This window comes from Homo sapiens, chromosome 20, assembly GCF_000001405.40.
Source record: "Homo sapiens chromosome 20, GRCh38.p14 Primary Assembly".
In the NCBI taxonomy this organism is placed as follows: domain Eukaryota; kingdom Metazoa; phylum Chordata; class Mammalia; order Primates; family Hominidae; genus Homo; species Homo sapiens.
In genome coordinates this window covers 62,278,373-62,298,100 of record NC_000020.11, presented here as the reverse complement: position 1 = coordinate 62,298,100, position 19,728 = coordinate 62,278,373, and the positions used below count along the sequence as shown (strand labels likewise).

The 19,728-nt window shown below is 51.8% G+C and overlaps 1 protein-coding gene across 4 annotated transcripts in view, besides 1 other annotated feature; it reads right to left on the bottom strand.

The window, feature by feature from the left end:
- Nucleotides 1,918–19,728, bottom strand: part of OSBPL2 (oxysterol binding protein like 2) — a 57,663-nt gene continuing 39,852 nt past the window's right edge. For 3 of the 4 annotated variants that reach the window (NM_001363878.2, NM_144498.4, NM_014835.5), the window contains 8 exons: nucleotides 18,762–18,944; nucleotides 16,936–17,043; nucleotides 16,222–16,311; nucleotides 13,932–14,055; nucleotides 11,390–11,518; nucleotides 8,771–8,894; nucleotides 6,308–6,398; nucleotides 1,918–4,316 (listed from right to left, as the gene is read on the bottom strand). In NM_001363878.2, the coding sequence (NP_001350807.1) occupies nucleotides 4,214–4,316; nucleotides 6,308–6,398; nucleotides 8,771–8,894; nucleotides 11,390–11,518; nucleotides 13,932–14,055; nucleotides 16,222–16,311; nucleotides 16,936–17,043; nucleotides 18,762–18,944 (952 nt within the window). In that variant the 3' untranslated portion in view covers nucleotides 1,918–4,213. The remainder of the gene's footprint in view (nucleotides 4,317–6,307; nucleotides 6,399–8,770; nucleotides 8,895–11,389; nucleotides 11,519–13,931; nucleotides 14,056–16,221; nucleotides 16,312–16,935; nucleotides 17,044–18,761; nucleotides 18,945–19,728) is intronic. The other variant, NM_001278649.3, reaches the window with a different exon arrangement.
- Nucleotides 18,668–19,168: an enhancer, noted in NCBI's record as "H3K4me1 hESC enhancer chr20:60853989-60854489 (GRCh37/hg19 assembly coordinates)". NCBI's record gives its function as "activates a minimal SCP1, AML or CMV promoter by ChIP-STARR-seq in naive H9 embryonic stem cells {active_cell/tissue: H9 hESC(naive)}" and the evidence as "EXISTENCE:reporter gene assay evidence [ECO:0000049][PMID:30033119]".

Here is a 19,728-nt window from a genome sequence, read left to right as displayed (position 1 = left end):
GCTCACCAAGCGAAGGACCGACTGTGAAGTGAACTTCGTACCCAGAGCTGGCAAATGTGGCTTTCGCCTCACAGAAATTTTACATCAGCCTGTAGAAGACGGTGAGGAACCATCTTTTGAGGGGTCCGAGGGAGACCCAGCTCCCGTGCTGCCTGGCAAGCAGCAGGAGCCACCGCCACGTTCTCGGCCACGGCAGGGGCCCCGTCTTTTGTGTCCACTTTACACACAGGCAAGTCCAGATGTGGCCATCAAAGAAAACTGGGACCATCAGGACTTCCTGCAGATGGATCGAACTCTCCTCTGGGGTCCAGCTGCGCCCCTCGTCCACATCTGTGCTGGCTGGAGGGTCAGGGCTCCACTCTGCCCGACAAGCAGTCTGGTGCAGGGGACGCAAATGTCACACCCAGCAGGGCCCGGCACTTGGAGACCTGAACTCTGTCGCCCAGCTCAGTGGGAAGCTCACCAGAACTCGTAACTGTCTTTGCTTTGTTTTCCTTCACGGAAATGACAAGGACCTGTAAAACTTGTAAATCCCCATTTCTGCTGGGGAGAAATTTTCCCCAAAGAGCAGGATGCCTTGTGAGGAGGCCTCCAGGCGTTTCTCTTGTCCTGTTCTAACCTCCTGACCTTGTGTTCAGATGTGCCTGGCAAACCGGGGCAGGTCCTTGGTGTTCAAGGCCAATGCCCCAGATGGACAGCTCCATGCTCAGACACGTGGACAGTGGGGTGCCCGGAGGCCACCAGGGTGGCATGTGGCACTTCTCCAAGTGCCGGGCCCTGCTGGGTCTGACATTTGCGTCCCCTGCACCAGACTGCTTGTCGGGCAGAGTGGAGCCCTGACCCTCCAGCCAGCACAGATGTGAGCTCTGGGGATGGCGTCTGGAAGGGGTGGTGGTGACCGGGAGCACCTGCAGGCACCACTCTTCCTGTACCGGCTTTCCCACTTGCCGCCGGAGGCTGGGAAACTCACGGTACACACAGGCACCTCCCCACGACCAAGGCATCTGGGCCGCTGGCTCGCTCTCCTCCCAGACAGCAGTCTCGGGAGGGTCTGGCTTCAGGACAGCCTGCACCAGCAAAATGCCGGATGTCCATCAGGGCTGGGGACCAGGGCCAGCTGTCCCCCACTTCCCACAACCCAAGCCTCGCCCGGTGAGAAGGCTGCAGGTGTTGGTGACACCCGACCCTTCACCGTCCTTGGACACTAGGGCAGGGCAGACGTCGCCACGTGGCCAGCGACTCAGATCCACACCGTCATCCCAGGTGAGCCTGGTGAGCAGCAGCATGTGCTATGTTGCCAACACGTGCTTTGCATGTGGCTCTCCGTGCTTTGCATATGGCTCTCCGGGAGGCATGCCTGTTCACCGTTCTGTCTCCAGCAGCTCACAATACATACACCCTGAACCAATGACCATAGAACCGAATTCTCATTTCAATTAGCAATAGAATCCAACCAAGGTATTAGGTTCTGTTGGGGAATAAGCTTGCTAGGTTTTTCATTCTGTAAGGACATCCTACATGACAGGATTAATTTTTTAAAAGAACCAAGGGCCTGGCACAGTGGCTCACACCTGTAATCCCAGCACTTTGGGAGGCTGAGGCAGGAGGATTGCTTGAGCCCAGGAGTTCAAGACCAGCTTGGGCAACACAGTGAGATCCTGTCTCTACAAAATTGTTTTAAAAAAATAGCTGGGTTTGGTGGCATGTGCCTATGGTCCTAGCTACTTGGGAGGCTGAGGCTGGAGGACTGCTTGAGCCCAGGATGTCGAGGCTGCAGTGAGCTATGACTGCACCACTGCACTCGAGCCTGGGCAACTGACCCTATCTCTAAAAGTGAATAAAGCACCAAGACCCTTGGTCAAGGCCATACTCACACCCAAACGCGTGGCCCACGAGAAGGCCATCACTTTCCACACATTAAGTGGTGGCCATCTTTATTAGAGATGTTTAACATTCAATAGATATCCAAGGTGACAAAAGTTAGGTCATGGTTTATGTGTTAGCATTTGCAGAAACAGTAACAAAAAGTAGTAAAAAGTTAAAATAACCTCGACACACAGCCGCTTTTGCCATCAGCCTTCCTACCGTTCTTCCTCCACCTCTGGTTTGGTGTCTGTCCTCAAGGACAGCAGAAGAGGGGCTGTCTGTGCAGCCAACCAGCCCCTGAAATACCAGGAGCCTGGTCCTAGAAGAGGACTTGGAAACAAACCCGTGGGCAAATTATCTTAACCAGTAACAAGTGGAATGATCAGTAAGAACTCGTTAAACCTCCCTAAATGCAGTCACTTTCAATGTGTCTGAGTCTCACCTCTGGATGTTCTCAGCTTGCAACCTTTCTTGGAGAAGGAGCCGGTTCACAACCACAGTCTGGAAAAGCAGATGACCCTCCACCAGAGGCACCTGGGCTCCACATTCCAGCCATCGGGGAATTTCAAAGTCTCCTCTTTGAATAACGCCACAATCCTGAATCCTCAGACCCAGCTACCAGTCACGGAGCGGTTCTGTTCAGACACTTTTGAGTGGCTGGTACGGAGCTCATAGGCCCCGAGGATGACACAGGACTCGGCACCAAACACCATCGCTTCCAGCTTCCAAAGCTACAAAATCAAGCTTTCAAAACGAGTGTTCACTTCCAGAAGTGCTTCCGTCACAGGTGTGATGTGGACGCCAAGACACACGCAGGTGGCACCTGTCACTCAGAAGTGCCGGCCTGAGTAACCTGGACTCCATGCAACCGCGTGTCAGCGTGTGCATGAGTGTGTGCGTGCGTGCACACAACCGACGGTCTTTCAAAGTGCTCCACTGTGATCTCTCGTGTTGACAATTCTACATGAAAAAAAATCAGTCACGGCCAGGCGCAGTGGCTCACGCCTGTAATCCCAGCACTTTGGGAGGTTGAGGCAGGCAGACTACTTGAGGTCGGGAGTTTGAGACCAGCCTGACCAACATGGTGAAAACCCGTGTCTACTAAAAATACAAAATCAGCCAGGTGTGGTGGCGCGTGCCTGTAATCCCAGCTACTTGGGAGGCTGAGGCAGGAGAATCGCTTGAACCCGGGAGGCGGAGGTTGCGGTGAGCCGAGATCATGCCATTGCACTCCAGCCTGGGCAACAAGAGTGAAACTCCGTCTCAAAAAAAAAAAAAAAAGGAAAGAAAAGAAAAAAAAATCAGTCACTTGATAAAGGTGAATGCTGAGATGGACACATACCTATTTTTGGTTAAATAACTTTAATTACACCACTGTAAGTAGATTCTGCCTCTGACCCTCCCACAGGACACAACCGGATGTGATTCTTGTCACTTCTATTTTAAACATGCATACTGGGAAAAACAGAAACACAAGAGTGCTATGGGTACACGCGACGTGTGAGAAGAAAGGAACCCCCTGGAGACACGGACGCGGTGTGCGGTGACAGCCAGGCCTCACTGACAACAGGGCAGCGAATCGCAGCCGGGACGCCTCTGAGGCGGAAGCAGTCTTGGGATTTCCTGTCACGCTCTCGATGCTTCTGCCCACTCTGGTTTGTCACGGGGATGCTTCATTTTGGACAGTATAAAACCGGTGATTAATGCATATCTTGCTCTTCAGCAAAATACTATTCAAGTAGTTTTAACTTAAATATTTTAAAAGTAATCTTTACATTATTGAAGATTGTTAAAAAATACAGAATCTGACAACTTTTCACTCAATCTGATGCTCTGAAACTCTTCACTTCTGTTTTATCATAATTTAGAAGGCAATCCCTGGCCTCTATAAAACTCTCTGCAGGATTAGCTTCAAGATCCATCTTTCCCCCACTGGTTCGAGTTTAAAAGGCTTTCAGAACCTTTTGCCACTGCATTATAAAGAGAACATGAACCCCTTCCCATTACTTCCTTTAGCTACACATGCTATGACTGAGAGTGTGCTGGAAGCTAAACAAGCCCCAGCTGATTTCTGCCACATAAAAGGGCGCCGTGAAGAATTTCCCTGTTGAAACCTTAATGAAGACGATGATCCCAAGTGAAGCTTTATGAAGAGACGGCACAGCAGAGTGAAATGTTTGGCAATCAACAGTTAATTAGAATTACATCCTTGATCAGGGATGATGCTATCTCCGCGAACTCAGTCGTTAGAAAAGTTGGTTTCTGCTGTGACGAGGCTCACAGTGGCCACTCGAGGAAGTCCAGCCTCGTCAGCCTCCGGTCCCGGGCCCCAGGCCCCTCCAGGCCCTCAGTAGATATCTGGGCAGTCGGAGAAATTCCGCTCAAAGTAATCCCCTGCATACAACCAGTCGGGGGTCCCAGTGTAGGGGTTATTGCCTGGGTAGAACCACCTGCCGGATACAAGGGAGGGGGGTCAGAAGATGCTCAGCCCAAAAGGAAAACGCAGCCCTGTTCTGGGTGCAGGAGTGTGTTCCCCCAACTCAGCACCATCACGGTAACGTGGGTTTTAAAATGCAGCCCAGCGTAACAACTTCAACGGAGAATTATTGATCACGTGGTCATGTGAATGCTGGAACCTAAAGATATCCAGCCACCCGTGTCAATTTCACTTCCCAACAAAATCTTGAGGGTTTAACTCAACACAAAATCCTCACACTGGGCCCTTATCAGAGAAGTTACTGGAGCCTAAATAATGCCTCTCCCTTTTCAAGGCAAAAGCAGTTACACTGTTCACATGTGCTGTCATTTAAAGCAAACCAAGTATTGGTTTTTTTAACTGAGGACAAAGGAAGACATTATAGGCAAAGAGAAGGTAGCACAGGGCCTGAGTGTTGGCGCTGGTTCAGCCGCCGTCCACAGCCCCCGGCTGGCACTCAGGGCCCGAGGGGTGTCCTTAGTGTTGGGGGTGGGGTGGGGGCAGCGCTCACAAAGGAGAAGACATTTTCTTCGAAGGACAAAAGATCATTATTTTCACAGTATATTTTTTTTAACACTTTAAAAAAACAATGAACAGGCCGGGCGCGGTGGCTCACGCCCGTAATTCCAGCACTTTGGGAGGCTGGAGGCAGGCGGATCACGAGGTCAGGAGATCGAGACCACGGGGAAACCCCGTCTCTACTAAAAATACAAAAAAAAAAAATTAGCCAGGCGTGGTGGCAGGCACCTGTAGTCCCAGCTACTCAGGAGGCTGAGGCAGGAGAATGGTGTGAACCCGGAGGGGCGGAGCTTGCAGTGAGCCGAGATCACGCCACTGCACTCCAGCCTGGGCAACAACAACAAAAAAAAAAAAAAATGAGGAAAGGTTAACTATTTTGAAGCTGATTTTTCTCTGGATTAAGGGCAAATTCCAAATATCAAACCATTCAAAGCCTAGTATCAAATTAAATTGGAAGCCCAAACAGTGAGAATTGGTTTCAAAACGCCAGCCACATGTAAGCCACCGGGTATCATTGTTGTTGGGCCTTGAGAACGAATCCTACCAAGCAGGTGGCCTACAGAATTAAGATGCTTCACAAACACCCAAAGATTTTTCTAACAAACTAAAACATTTTACTTATAAATACATTTTTAAATTATACTTATTACAGTACATTATTGATTGAATCCTTATTCAATGGTTCTTTTCTCTTATGACTATTATAGAACAAACTACAGCCAGCTTAGGACAGTTACAGAAACAGGAATCATGTCCCAGCAGCTGATGCTTCTGTGAGGCCCACGCAGCCCATGCCACCGTCCCAGCCTCCATGTGCACAGACGCCACGGCACAGCACACGGGATTTAATTTTCACAAAACCTTTCTGGGTCATGGGGTGAAGATCAGCCTGAGTGGCACTGACAGGAAGATGTGGTATCGGTGTGACAGGCGTGGCCTCCACACGGTGCCACCTCCCTACACACGGGCTGTGGCCCCTGGGGGACCTCACCCATACACTCACCAGCTGTGTTTTCCTAAAGGGAGCAGTCACATTCAGGCAACATTTTCTCTTTAACTTTGCCACAGTTGAAAAGAAAGCTTTGGGCCAACACACCATGAGGCCCGGCAGTAGACCCGGGTCTGAGGTGACAGGCACTCTGCACAGGCCACCCCCAGCCGGGTGGTCTCGGCAAAGTGTGCGCTAAGCTAGGATGGGCTCTTACCTGGGCAGTGGGAACCACATGGGTCAGGGGCAGCCACTGGTGTCACTACCTTAATGGAGCCATGGAACAGTAACTGCCCAGCCACAGGGGTGTGGGGGTGAGAGAAGGCACTCCCCGCCGTCCCCAGGTGTGTGTGGGGCCTCCCCGCCGTCCCCAGGTGTGTGTGGGGCCTCCCCGCCGTCCCCAGGTGTGTGTGGGGCCTCCCCGCTGCCCCAGCCTGCGTGGCTACCACAGTACTCACCTCGTCTGCCACTCTGCCTCCTCCTTGGCCCGCTCCCTCCGTGCTTCTCTCTGCTTCTCCTCCAGCCGCTCCTTCTCCTGGCTGGCCAGATCTAGGATCCAAGCAAACAGTTTAGGTCAGACAGAGACCTTAGAACCGCACCCCGCCACCCCCTATGCACCTAGATCTCTAGTTGGCATGTCTCACTGTGGCTGGAATGCCACAGACAACAGGTTCTGTGATCGGGAGACCAAACACAATCACAGTTGCCGAGGCCACAGCGGCCGGCACGCCAACAGGGCCCTTCCCAAGCGGAGCTGAGTAGAGCATGGGGGCTGCATGTGCTGCGTGTTCTACGACAGCACTACTCAAAGTCTGCGGGTGCAGGAGTCTGAAGGACAGGCAGGGCCCAGGCACCACCCAATGCCCTGGTGTGCGAGCAGGCGCTCAGGACGGGGAGCCAGCCCCACCTGTGCAACTCAGAGCCCATCTCCCAAAGACGAGCTCCCTTTAGCCTTGACCTTCCCGGGTAACTGCCATGTGGCTTCTGTGAAGGACTGGGCACACATTCTGAATACAAAGCATGAGAAGTTACATCCATTCCCAGGTCACACTCGTGAGCTGGGTTTCTCTCTGAAAACATCACTAATTCAAGCTGGGCGCGGTGGCTCATGCCTGCATCCCAGCACTTAGGAGGGCTGAAGCAGGCGGATCGCTTGAACCCAAGAGTTGGCAACCAGCCCGGGCAACATGGCAAAACCCCATCTCTATAAAAAATACAAAAATTAGGCCAGGCACAGTGTCATCCCAGCACTTTAGGAGGCCAAGGCGGGTGGATCACCTGAGGTCAGCAGTTTGAGACCAGGCTGGCCAACATGGTGAAACCCTGTCTCTACTAAAAATACAAAAATTGGCCGGGTGTGGTGGCGGGCACCTGTAATCCCAGCTACTCGGGAGGCTGAGGCAGGAGAATCTCTTGAACCTGTGAGCAGAGGTTGCAGTGAGCCGAGATCACGCCACTGCACTCCAGCCTGGGCAACAAGTGTGAAACTCTGTCTCAAAAAAAAAAAACAAAAAAAACAAAAAAAAAAACCTGGCCAGGCACAGTGGTTCATGCCTGTAATCCCAGCACTCTGGGAGGCTGAGGCGGGCGGATCACAAGGTCAGGAGATCGAGACCGTCCTGGCTAACATGGTGAAACCCTGTCTCTACTAAAATATACAAAAAATTAACCGGGCGTGGTGGCAGGGGCACCTGTAGTCCCAGCTACTCGGGGAGGCTGAGGCAGGAGAATGGCCTGAACCCAGAAGGCGGAGCTTGCAGTGAACCGAGATCGCACCACTGCCCTCCAGCCTGGGGAACAGCGTGAGACTCCGTCTCAAAAAAAAAAAAAAAAAAAAAAACCCAAAAAATTAGCCAGGTGTAGTGGCATGCACTTGTAGTCCCAGCTACTCGGGAGGCTGAGGCAGGAGGATGGCTTGAACCTGGGAGGTTGAGGCTGCAGTGAGCCAAGATCACACCACTATAGTCCAGCCTGGGCTACAGAGTGAGATCCCGACTCTAAACATAAATAAATAAAACATTACTAACTCAAAACCCAGGACACTTTGGATTTGCCTCCTCAGCCAGGAGTTTCACTGCGGATTCCATCTAGATGAGTGAGTGAGAAAGTTGTTCATCTGCCATGTTACAGATGAACGCTGCAAGCACAGAGCCCACCGGGAGAGTGTGAGGCTGCAGGACACGCCACACACGTGCCAGTGACTGCACTGATGGCTACACGGATCCTCACAGTGGAACACGTGCAGTTTTCTAAATGTAATCTTAACTTTTGTTTAATTTAATAATAACAAATTAGGAACTTGTACTTTGTTTTTTGTTTGTGTTTTTTGTTGTTGTTGTTTGTTTGTGAGGCAGGGTCTCACTCTGTCGCCCTGGCTGGAGTGCAGTGGTATAATCTCGGCTCACTGCAACCTCCACCTCCTGGGTACAAGCGATTCTCATGCCTCAGCCTCCCTAGAAGCTGGGATTACAGTCGGGCGCCACCATGACCGCCTAATCTCTTGTATTTTTAGTAGAGATGGAGTTTTGCCTTGTTGGCCAGGATGGTTTCGAACTCCTGACCTTGGGTGATCCACCTGCCTCAGCCTCCCAAAGTGCTGGGGTTATAGGCGTGAGCCACCGCGCTCGGCCTAGGATTTGTACTTTGTATGTATTTTTTCATTTCATTTTCTAGTAATGTAATTTTAATTTATTTACAAAAGGTTTGGTCTGAGGCAGGCGAGAGATCTTTAAAGCCCTTCACCACAGACGGTCTGAGAAGCCTAGTTAGAAGGCCTGCAGCCTGCCTGTTTGTTTAGGGAGAGGGACGGGGCTCCCCTTGTAGGCGAGAGCCTGGCTTCTGCCAGCGAGTGCTTTGTGCTCTCCCACCCTAGCCAGGGCGTCCTTGGCCCCAAGCTTCCTCCTCTGACTGCGTGGACGCACCCATGTTGCCATTCTCCATGCCGCGGATGTCAGGGCGCAGGCGGCAGTCCGTGGGTGGCAGGGTCTTCTCCATGCCTGTCTCCAGCTCGTTGAGGCTCACAGTGAAACTGGTGAAATTATACATCTGTGGAGCAAGGCACAGAGACACGACCTCAGCAGGGCCTCTGAACCATGGACTATGCTCCAAGACCCCCAGTGGGCCCCTGAAATCCCGCAGGTGCTACCTGACTGCCACCATGGGAACCTACTTCCGCTCACGTCTTCCACCTGCAAATTCAATGCCTCTGCCGTCTTCACTAAGCACGTATCATGCACTGCGGCTGTAACGTTTGCATTTTGAGGTATACCAGCAAAACTCACACACATTTCTTTTTCTGTCTTTACAATCTCATCAACAGATTTGTCACCAGCTTGCTGGAAACACTCCAGCCACGCCACCTGTCTCCCACTGCTAAACCCTCAGCTTGTACCTGCTCCTTTCCTGCCCTCAGCCACACCTGCCCACAGGTTCCTCCTCTTTACCCCTTCACCTGCCAAAGCCTCAGCCCTGGAGCAAGTTAATTTGTCACATTAACAACTGGAATGCTTAGGGTATGACAGTCCCCCCGTGCCCAGGACTCCCAGAGCCTTGCTCTGCCTGACTTCTGGCTCGCAGCTGTCTGCTCGGCGTCTTGTGGACAGCACACCCGAGCAGGCCTGCGGCAGCACCCTGCACCCACAGCCTTCGGCCTCTGCACCCACAGCCTCCCAGCCTCTGCACCCACAGCCTCCGGCCTCTGCACCCACAGCCTCCCAGCCTCTGCACCCACAGCCTCCGGCCTCTGCACCCACAGCCTCCCAGCCTCTGCACCCACAGCCTCCGGCCTCTGTACCCACAGCCTCCCAGCCTCTGCACCCATAGCCTCCCAGCCTCTGCACCCACAGCCTCCCAGCCTCTGCACCCACAGCCTCCGGCCTCTGCAGCCCTCAGGGCCCTGGCTCCACTCAGGTCCTCCCACCACAGCCAGGCCCTCCAGCCACCACCCGTGTCCTCCCTCTTCTGTTGCTGCCCTCACAGCATCTCAGCAAGCAGCCAGAAAGGCCACAGGAAACATCAACAGCACCCGTCACCCCCTGCTCAAATGACTCCTGGTGCCCCATGTCACTCACAGCAAATACTGAAGTCGTCTGGAGACCCCTGCACCCCCTCCACCCTCATCCCCATGGCCCCCTGGGCCCTCACACACTAGTCTACTCCAGGGGTCTCTGCCCTGACTGTCCCCTCCGCCCAAACGCAATCCCTAGACACCCCCACCCCTACCCCATGACTGAAGCCACAGCACTCAGATGCCCTCCCTGGCACCCAAGGCACCACCTGGCTCTCAGGTGTGAGTCAACCACCTGCCCCGCCTCCCTCCTGGGACCTCGTCTGCCTGGTTCTAGTGCCCAGGCCCACAGGGCCTGGCAGGCAGGAGGACTCAACACATACGCTGAGCCAAAGGCTGGAAGCATGAGTTATCTTTAAAGAGACTTCCCTGAAAAAAAACATACGCAATTTTCCTAATAATAAATTTAAAATACCAATAGTATCATTGGCAGGCCACAGTGTCTCATGCCTGTGGTCCCAGCAACTCAGGAGGCCAAGGCAGGAAGATAATGCTTGAGGCCAGGAGTTCGAGACCAGCCTGGGCAACATAGCAAGACCTCCTCTCTACAAAAAATAGAAAATTAGTCTGGCATGGTGGCACACGCCTGTGGTCCTCGCTACTAGGGAGGCTGAGGTAGGAGGATCACTTGAGCCCAGAAATTGGAGCCTGCAGTGAGCCAAGATCACACCACTGCACTGCAGCCTGGGTGACAGAGCGAGACTCTGCCTCTATTAAAAAAGAAAATAGCATTGTTAAACCAGTTCGTACTCTACTCAAATGATAACAGTGACTGTTGAGATAACGTGCTTAAAGTGAAGGTTTTGCTTCCTTTTCTGTATTTTACGCATGTTCTGCTCTGTTTATGGGACGTACAAAATTGCATAAGTTGCATAAATTTTATATACAAATAAGAATTTATAAAAAATACTAAGATATTACGTGTGATATTTATCATATAACCATATATCACATATTTTATTTGTCATAAAACATGTAGTTTATCATATATTTAATAAAAATTATAAGTGCAATTTTCAAAAATAAATATCACAAGGCATTTGAGCATCTAAATTGACAAGTGAGAAAGCAATCTCCCCAAACAGGCTTGGAAGCCTCTTTTGATAAGACGCACTTGGCCGGCAATGGCCACGTCTGTCTGATGTTCCCAGGGGAAGCACAAGCATGTGTGCCCGGCGGGCAGCTCTGACACGCAGCTGAGCATGCGTCCACACCTCGACCTGCATGTCCTATGGAGCAGCGGTGCCCAGCCCCAACAGCAGGCCCCAAGGCAGACAAGCACAGGGCCGGGACGCAGCTCCAGGGACAACAGAAGCCACTCCGACAATGGCGGAGGCCCCTGTCTGCTCTGGGACAACAGGCTGAGGCGAGGCGGCAGGCAAGGGCCCAAGGACAGGGAAGAGCCGTGGGGCTGGGCCCAGAGGTGGGTGTGACATGAGCAGGCAGAGACGTCAGGCCATGGAGGGACACAGACCTGGGCAGAGTTGGGGGGCCGGGTGTTGATCCTCCAGAGCAGCTTGCTGCCAGGAATGACCTGCACGGTCTCCTGGGCCACAGGCACGTCGTCAGCCACGTCGCTGTCAGCCTTCCCGGAGTCTTCATCCTGAAACACAGAACCCTGCTGTGTGGCTGCCCGGGGCCAGGCCGCTCTTGGCCAGGAGGACAGCTATTCTCAGAGCGCCTTTCAGACCAGTCACCTGAGCAGAGCCAGGCAGCCTTCTCCTTTTTTTTTTTTTCAGACGGAGTCTCGCTCTGTTGCCCAGGCTGGAGTGCAATGGTGCGATCTCGGGTCACTGCAACCTCTGCCTCCTGAGTTCAAGAGATTCTCCTGCCTCAGCCTCCCGAGTAGCTGGAAATACAGGTGCCCAAAACCATGCCCGGCTAATTGTTTGTACTTTTAGTAGAGACGGGGTTTCACTATGTTAGCCAGGCTGGTCTTGAAATCCTGACCTCAGGCAATCCACCCACCTCGGCCTCCAAAAGTGCTGAGATTACAGGCGTAAGCCACCACACCCGGCCTTTTTTTTCTTAAACTAAGGAGAAAATAGAATTTCCTCTCCAGTCTATGACACTGTCTGTCCATCACTGTACGGAGAGGAGCTGGGCCCCAGTCCCTAAAGCAGCTCACACTCCCTTCGTAGGGCTGTGCTGTCTGTTCTAACGGACACCCAGAGTGGAGACGACAGAGGTCAGTGGCCAGGCGTGTTTCCCTTCACAGAGACGACAGAGGTCAGTGGCCAGGCGTGTTTCCCTTCACGGAGATGACAGAAGGTCAGCGGCCAGGCGTGTTTCCCTTCGGGTGACGACAGGAGGTCAGTGGCCAGGCGTTTCCCTTCGCAGAGACGAAGGAAGTCAGTGGCCAGGCGTTTCCCTTCGTGGAGATGAAGGAAGTCAGTGGCCAGGCGTGTTTCCCTTCGGGAGAAGCGGTGCACGCGAAACAGCACTTCATGGAGTCTGAGTGCGACGACACAGCGGTGGCTTCATGGAGTCTGAGTGCGACGACACAGCGGTGCCTTCCAAACAGCAGGTTCATTCACACACATGGCGCCTCTCCAGAAGGCAGGTTCTGGGACTGAGAGCTTTCTAGATAGCGCAGCTTTGCCCCCATCAAGAAGTGGCTCCTGTGTGGGGGTTTCAGGCTCTCTACACCCTGATGAAAAGACAAAACCTGCCACATTGCTTCTCAAAATAAATGGGTCCTAGAAAAGGGAATGATTCCAGAAGCAGCTCTTCAGGGAGACCACTGAAAACAAGCGAGTCAAAGCCCAGGGCTTCCTGCACTAGCTGTATTCACACTGGCTGTAGGCACCATGGCCCGAGGCTGGGGCGAGGGAGAGCCGCAGCTCAAGGACAAGGATTCACAGAAAACTCCCGTTTCTAGGTCACCTCAAGGAGCAGGAAAGCATCAAAAGACATCGCTAAATGGATTTACCCTTCTAGGTCTGTCTAGTGTGTAAGCAGAATTTTCCTTTTTAAATAAAAGAGGGTGATTAGAAAAGGTGTCTAACAGCACAAATGAATACAACAACATAAAAAACACTTGGGATCCGGAGGAGGCTGAATGTTTCCGTTAAATAAATATTGAACATTTCAGGTTTGGTACATTCCAATTCATTATGTAGAAAATAGGACACCTCTTTTGAACTATCCCTTTTATTTTTAAGTTCAAGAACAACTAGTCTTAAGATAATGAGTATTCCAAAGCTTTAAGGGGAAAAGCCTTGCCAGTACTTTCTGGCTGTTGAATATATTATCTGGTACTCACAACTAAAAACAAAAAATTGAAATTCACTTGATTTTTAACAATATGTCTAGGCTAACTCAAAGAAAGCGAGAAGATTTATTAAGAAGGACCCAGAACTTGGAGCTTCCAGAAAAGAAACGGCCTTGCCTGAGGTTCCCTCAGATACTTCCAGCCATGGGGGCCAGCAATTATGTATGACTCGTGGGCACTGGTGCCCACGGTTTATAGCAGCAGCCTCCGTGCAACCAAAATACAGATATGCCGGCTGGGTGTTGTGGTTCATGCCTATTAGTAATCCCAGCACTTTGGGAGGCCGAGGTGGGAGGACTGCTTAAGCCCAGGAGTTCAAGACCAGCCTGGGCAACATAGCAAGACCCCATCTCTAAAAAAAATAAAAATTAGTCAGGCATGGTGGTACATGCCTATAGTCCTAGCCACTTGGGAGGCTAAGGAGGGAGGATTGCTTGAGCCTGGTAGCTGGAGGTTGCAGTGAGTTATGACTGCACCACTGTACTCCAGCCTGGGCAACAGAGGGAGACCCTGCCTGGAGGGGAAAAAAAAAAAAAATGGAAAGAAATACAGATAAACCCCCTCACTGATACTGGAACCCACAATATATGGTTCATCTGGACAGACAAATTCTGCACATTCATCTCTCCTGGTGGGGCCCAAAGGTTCCCTGGGACCCCAACAGGTGAGCTAAAGGCAGCAGCGGCCTGGCAGCCCTCAGCACCCAGGGCTCAGCTCTGCCCGGGGACGCCCCAGCCCTTACCAGCTTGGCCTTTCTCAGGTGGTCACCTCTCCTCTCCTGCTTCTTGAAGGATTCATACGAAACAGGATCTATGCCCCACAAACATTCCGTCCATTTGCCATAGATCATAAAGAGCTTCTTTTTGCTGTAATTAAATGGGATTTTTAAAGACAAGTCTTAGTCATTACAAACCATTTGTCTAAACATGTGGCACCCTGGAATAAATTCCCCTCAGGTATGTTTTCTTATGCATCTTGGGACATCTCTGGACATAAATGCGAAGGTGAAAATTTGCATTCTGGGACCATTCGTAGCCCCGATACACACCACGGAAAGGAAAATGAAGGGCCGGAAACCTAAAGGATGGACAGCCCACCGGGCTGCAGGAGATGGGAAGGGACAGAAACCCAAAAGAGAGATGGCCCATGGGACTGCAGGAGACGGGAAGGGATGGAAACCCAAAGGATGGTTGGTCCAGGGGGCTGCAGGAGACGGGAAGGGGCAAAAAAGAGTGAGCGTTTTAAAATGTAAAGCTGCATGCGCCCACTGATCATTTTCAACACACTCAATGTGTTGTGTGTGTGTCCTTCAGCCCTTTTCTATCAATCAGTGCAGTCAATGCTGCTTGCTTGATCTTTGGTTCCCCGCCTGCCTTTTTTCATCAATAACAACCCAGAGACCTTTGCAGAGTGGCCACCAGAGCTCTCGATTCTAAAAGGGATGAAGCCAAATAGTGCCAGACTCCATTTTCTTTCTCCTTTCGCCTCTTGCTGGGAAGAGTCAACCGTGACCACAGACTCCCGGGAAGTGCAACTCTGACAGACTCGGGACCCAGGAGGGGACGGTGTCACTGCAGTGCCTGCAGAGCCAGCACACAGACGCGGGGAACTGGGCCAGGCCTCACCTAGTAGACAGCCTGGGGACAACTCTGTCTCCAAGGACAGAGCACCCTTAAATTTAGGATGGAAAACCAGACAACCAAAACACACTTTACATGCACTCACTGAAGGTCAGCGAGTCTGGCCTCGGGGTCCCTGCCCGGTTCTGGAAAAACATGTTTTACATGCACTCACTGAGGGTCAGCGAGTGTTGGCCTCGGCGCCCCCGCCTATTTCTGGAAACAGACAGCCAGCTGCTCCCTGGGCTGAGTTCCAAGGGGGAGAGGTGTCAAGGCACTGATGACTGCTACCCTGTTGTAAGACTGCTGTCCCTTCTAGGTCCACATGTTGATCCTCACATGTTTTATGGGAGAAATGGTCAGTCATAAGCCTGGCCATTTTATTTTATAGGCTGTTCAAACGGGTGCATTTCTGGTCTACCATAGAGGGTGGACAGAGCAGAAACACCAACTGTCTTATTTTTTTGAGACAGCCTCTTGCTTGGCTGCCCCGGCTGGAGCGCATTGGCGTGATCTTGGCTCACTGCAACCTCCATCTCCCAGGCTCAAGAGATTCTTGTGCCTCAGCCTCCTGAGTAGCTGGGATTACAGATGTGCGCCATCACACCTGGCTAATTTTCGTATTTTTAGTAGAGACGGGGTTTTACCATGTTGGCCAGGCTGGTCTCGAACTCCTGACCTCAGGTGATCTGCCCACCTCAGAAGTGATGGGATTACAGGCATGAGCCACTGCACCTGGCCCTGACTGTTTTAAATTGGGGACTAGTTTCTAATGGGAAATGTCTACATTTTTGGAACTAGAAGGAACTTCATGACATTCTATGGCTCAAATTCCTTACGAAAAAAACAAATGTGAGACCCAGATTACAAAGTAATTAACCCAAATGGGGAGAAAAAAACTGAAAAATTTGTTGGAACAGTACTGACCATTTCTCTGCTCACAAAAACTTGCGAAAGTCCCTGATTTAAAGACTGGAGTGAACTGGTCACGTGACACTGACGCCCCTCAAGCTAACACATTTGAGTCTTGCCTGACAACGTGCATGGGGTGCTGGTAGAAGGAAAACGCAAGGCCACACTTCCCACCCACCTCAGCTCTGCTGCGAAACAGTCCCCTCTCATCTCCCAGTGGAAATAGCTGACTTCTCAAGACAATTTTATCAAAAGAAGATGGCCCCAGTAACAAGCCACCTAGAAACTACATTCAAAAATACCCTTTATTTCCTTTTATGCTCAATAACAAAATGTCTTTCCAAAACAAAAAAGAGTCATACTTCTGGACCATGAACAGATGGCACTGGTGTACCCGCGTCTCATGCACGTAGGCACACGCAGGCCCAGGAGCACCTGAGCCCTTCTAACGTGGACACACAGGCTGTAGTGGTGCCCCATGAACACTTGGCAAGGACCTACTTTTTGTCTTGAATGTGTCCTTCCACCTTGTGAAGTTCTTTTCCAAATAATCCACACGGTTTAAAGTGAAGCACACACTTATGTCCAGTTCTGTGAGAAAAACAAACACAGGTTTCTGCTGCAAGACAGCAAACAGCCGGAAAGGGTAACTCTGTAACAGGAGAAGCGCGGTGGAGGCCCCTGGGGCAGGCGGGGGGTGACTGCAAATGGGTGTGGTGGGCCTTTGGGGCGATGGAAGTGTTTGAAATGGGCTGTGGGGACGGCTCCATGATTCGGTCAATTTACTAAAAATCACTTAAGTGTCCATTCAGAATGGGCGAGTCTTATGATGCATCGATTATACCTCACTAAAGTGGTGAAAAGGCAAAGCCCACCAGTCATGAGCTTCCAGGAATAGGGCATTCAAGCCTAGACAGTGGCCAACGGCCGTGGACGGCCACTGCGCTGCACCTGGCAATGACACAGCTCTTCAGCATAGCTCAAAGCCTTAAAGTAACAACCGTGACGAAAAACGAGGTCTTGAACGAGGAGCATTCATGGCCAACACCGGTCAGAGTCAAGTCTAGGCAGCTGCTATGCCTGGGCTGGCGGGGACACGGCAGCAGCTCGTGAGGCTGAGCTAAAACCCACCAGGAGCACGGATGCTCACGCTCCCCGGCTCGCCCATCCCCACCCGGAGCCTCGCGCTCTCACCCAACGGTGGGGTGCTGTCACCTGTGGTTTAAAATCTCCACTGTCCCATACTGCTCTATCCACAGCTTCCCGATGATGACGTTGTGGACGCAGCAGGTGGGGTTGGTCCAGGTGTAGGCTTCATTATGTCTGTGAAGACACCAGAAAACAAGCAGTGAGAGTCCAGAAAAGCCAAGACACGACGTGACCCAAGACGCAACGACCAGGCGGGGCTGGGTCACAGCAACCGGCACCCGCGGGAGAGCAGCACGCTGCTTTGAAGCCCCTGCGACGGAGGCTGTGTATTTAGCATGCGTTTGAAATGTACTTCTTCTTTCCTTTGTAGCATCTACAAAGCTTTCTACTTAAATGTCAAGACAAGTTAATAAGCAATCAAAGAAGACTGAACAAAGACAAATGGCTTTCCTGTGAAGTCGTCAAAAGAAAGGCCACCTCACGAAACACACACGGCAGTAATGCAGGGTCCTGGGCATGCGGCCCTGGCTTTCTGGGGAGCTGGCACATGGCTGTGGAGGGGTGCAGGGTTTTCAACCGCACTCCACATACTTGTTTCCTTTACTCCTCATCCTCCCAAATGGCCCTGCCCAAGAAGAAAACACCCCACCAATGTGAGGCAGCAGATCAGCAGCCCTATGTTCTAAGGTGCTACGTGGGGGAGCCACAGTGAAGGCAGAAATCTGCTCAGAGCAGGGTATTTTGCCACACGTCTGGAATTCTCTCAATTTCCTGGGGGTGGAACCCAAACTGGTTCATCAGCAAGGTTATCAGCAAGGTGTGCAACTTTATCAGCAAGGTGTGCAACTTCTCATTTCTGCATGCCTCTTAATTAAGCAAGGCCACTGCACAACAGGCACTCGGCCATACCAGCCCCAGGACACACTCTCAGGGGCTTCTCCAGGTCCTTGTGGAACCTTCTAGCCACCATCCAGGCAGGGCCAATGTGAAGCAAAACCCAAATCAAATGCTTCATCAGGCAAGGTGTCGTTTATTACTTATTTCTGTATGTATTTGTTAGGACCTGCTGCCTACAACAAGACTGCAGGCAGTGGCTTGGCAAGACTCACGTCTCAGAACTGGTGGCCCAGGAGGACGCCAGCATCCGGTCTGTGTCTGTCGGGTCTTAGCGGCCGGCATTTGTTGGAGACTTGTGTTTTGCTCTGAGGTGTCTTTGGTTGACACTGGATTGGGGAGCATTTAGGCTGAGAGTGAAGAGGGGTGGCAAGCAGCCTCTCAGAGGGTCCCCTCCCACGCTGTTTCAAATTCCAACCCTAAGTCACCCCTGCCACATGAGCACAGGGTGGGGGAGTGTGCAAAGGGCCACTTCCCTGGCTTCCTTCTCAGCTCTCTCCCCCTGTGGGAGGCAGTGCCCTGCAGCAAGCAGCCCAGAAGGGGAGCCAGGACACAGGCGCCATGGGCAACCCAACCCTCATTGCCACCGCAACCTCACGGTCCCCGGCCCTCAGACACCTGCCAGCCTGGTGTGGAAGCTGCTAAGTTTGGGACAGTTATGCAGCAAAAGACAAGAAATACAATGAATGATGCCGGAAAGCGGGGTGAGTTCCAACTGCAGACGTGAGGATGCACCCCAGCAACATGGGACCCTGGTCATACAATGAATGATGTGACCGAAAGGGGGGCGAATTCCAACTGCAGACGTGAGGACGCACCCCAGCAACACGGGACCCTGGTCAGGAAGCTCATCTGAAGACGTTTCTGCTGTGGGGAGGTCCCCACCTCAGGAGAAAAATGACAGGGTTTCCTCCTGAAGGAAGCTTTCCCTCCACATCACCAGCACCCATTTCAGTTTCTGCAGGAAGCGGATCTCAGCAGGACGCACCGACACTCACTTGAGCAGCTCCAGGGTGATGGTGCCTCGGGGCTCCGCCTCCACGCTTTTGCCCCAGAACTTGAGCTTGGGGTAGATGGAGCCATGGAACAGGAAGTCATGGTTGAGACCTTCCGAGTGGAACGCACTGATGGGGGGGTGGTGACTGACCTGTTCCGATATAAATCTGAATCCTAAATCTTCCCTAGGTCAAAGAATAAAAAAGAGAGACACATTAATGGCAGCAAAATAAAAGAAAGGGCAGCTCAGACATCATGTGGAGCCCCTCACAGGACGCTGGGAAGCAGGGGCCCTCCATGCCACAACATGTGGCGGAAACACCCAACACCACCTCTCCGACATTGCACTTGGCCTAACGTTGGCAACAGACACACACACAAACATGACATCGCACTTGGCCTAACGTTGGCAACAGACACACACACACAAACATGACATTGCACTTGGCCTAACGTTGGCAACAAACACACACACAAACATGACATCGCACTCGGCCTAACGGCAACAGACACACACACAAACACGATATCGCACTCGGCCTAACGTTGGCAACACACACACAAACATGACATCGCACTCGGCCTAACGTTGGCAACACACACACAAACATGACATCGCACTTGGCCTAATGTTGGCAACAGACACACACACACAAACATGACATTGCACTTGGCCTAACGTTGGCAACACACACACAAACATGACATCGCACTTGGCCTAACATTGGCAACAGACACACACACAAACATGACATCGCACTCGGCCTAACGTTGGCAACAGACACACACACAAACATGACATCGCACTCGGCCTAACGTTGGCAACACACACATAAACATGACATCGCACTTGGCCTAATGTTGGCAACAGACACACACACAAACATGACATCACACTTGGCCTAACGTTGGCAACACACACACAAACATGACATCGCACTTGGCCTAATGTTGGCAACAGACATACAC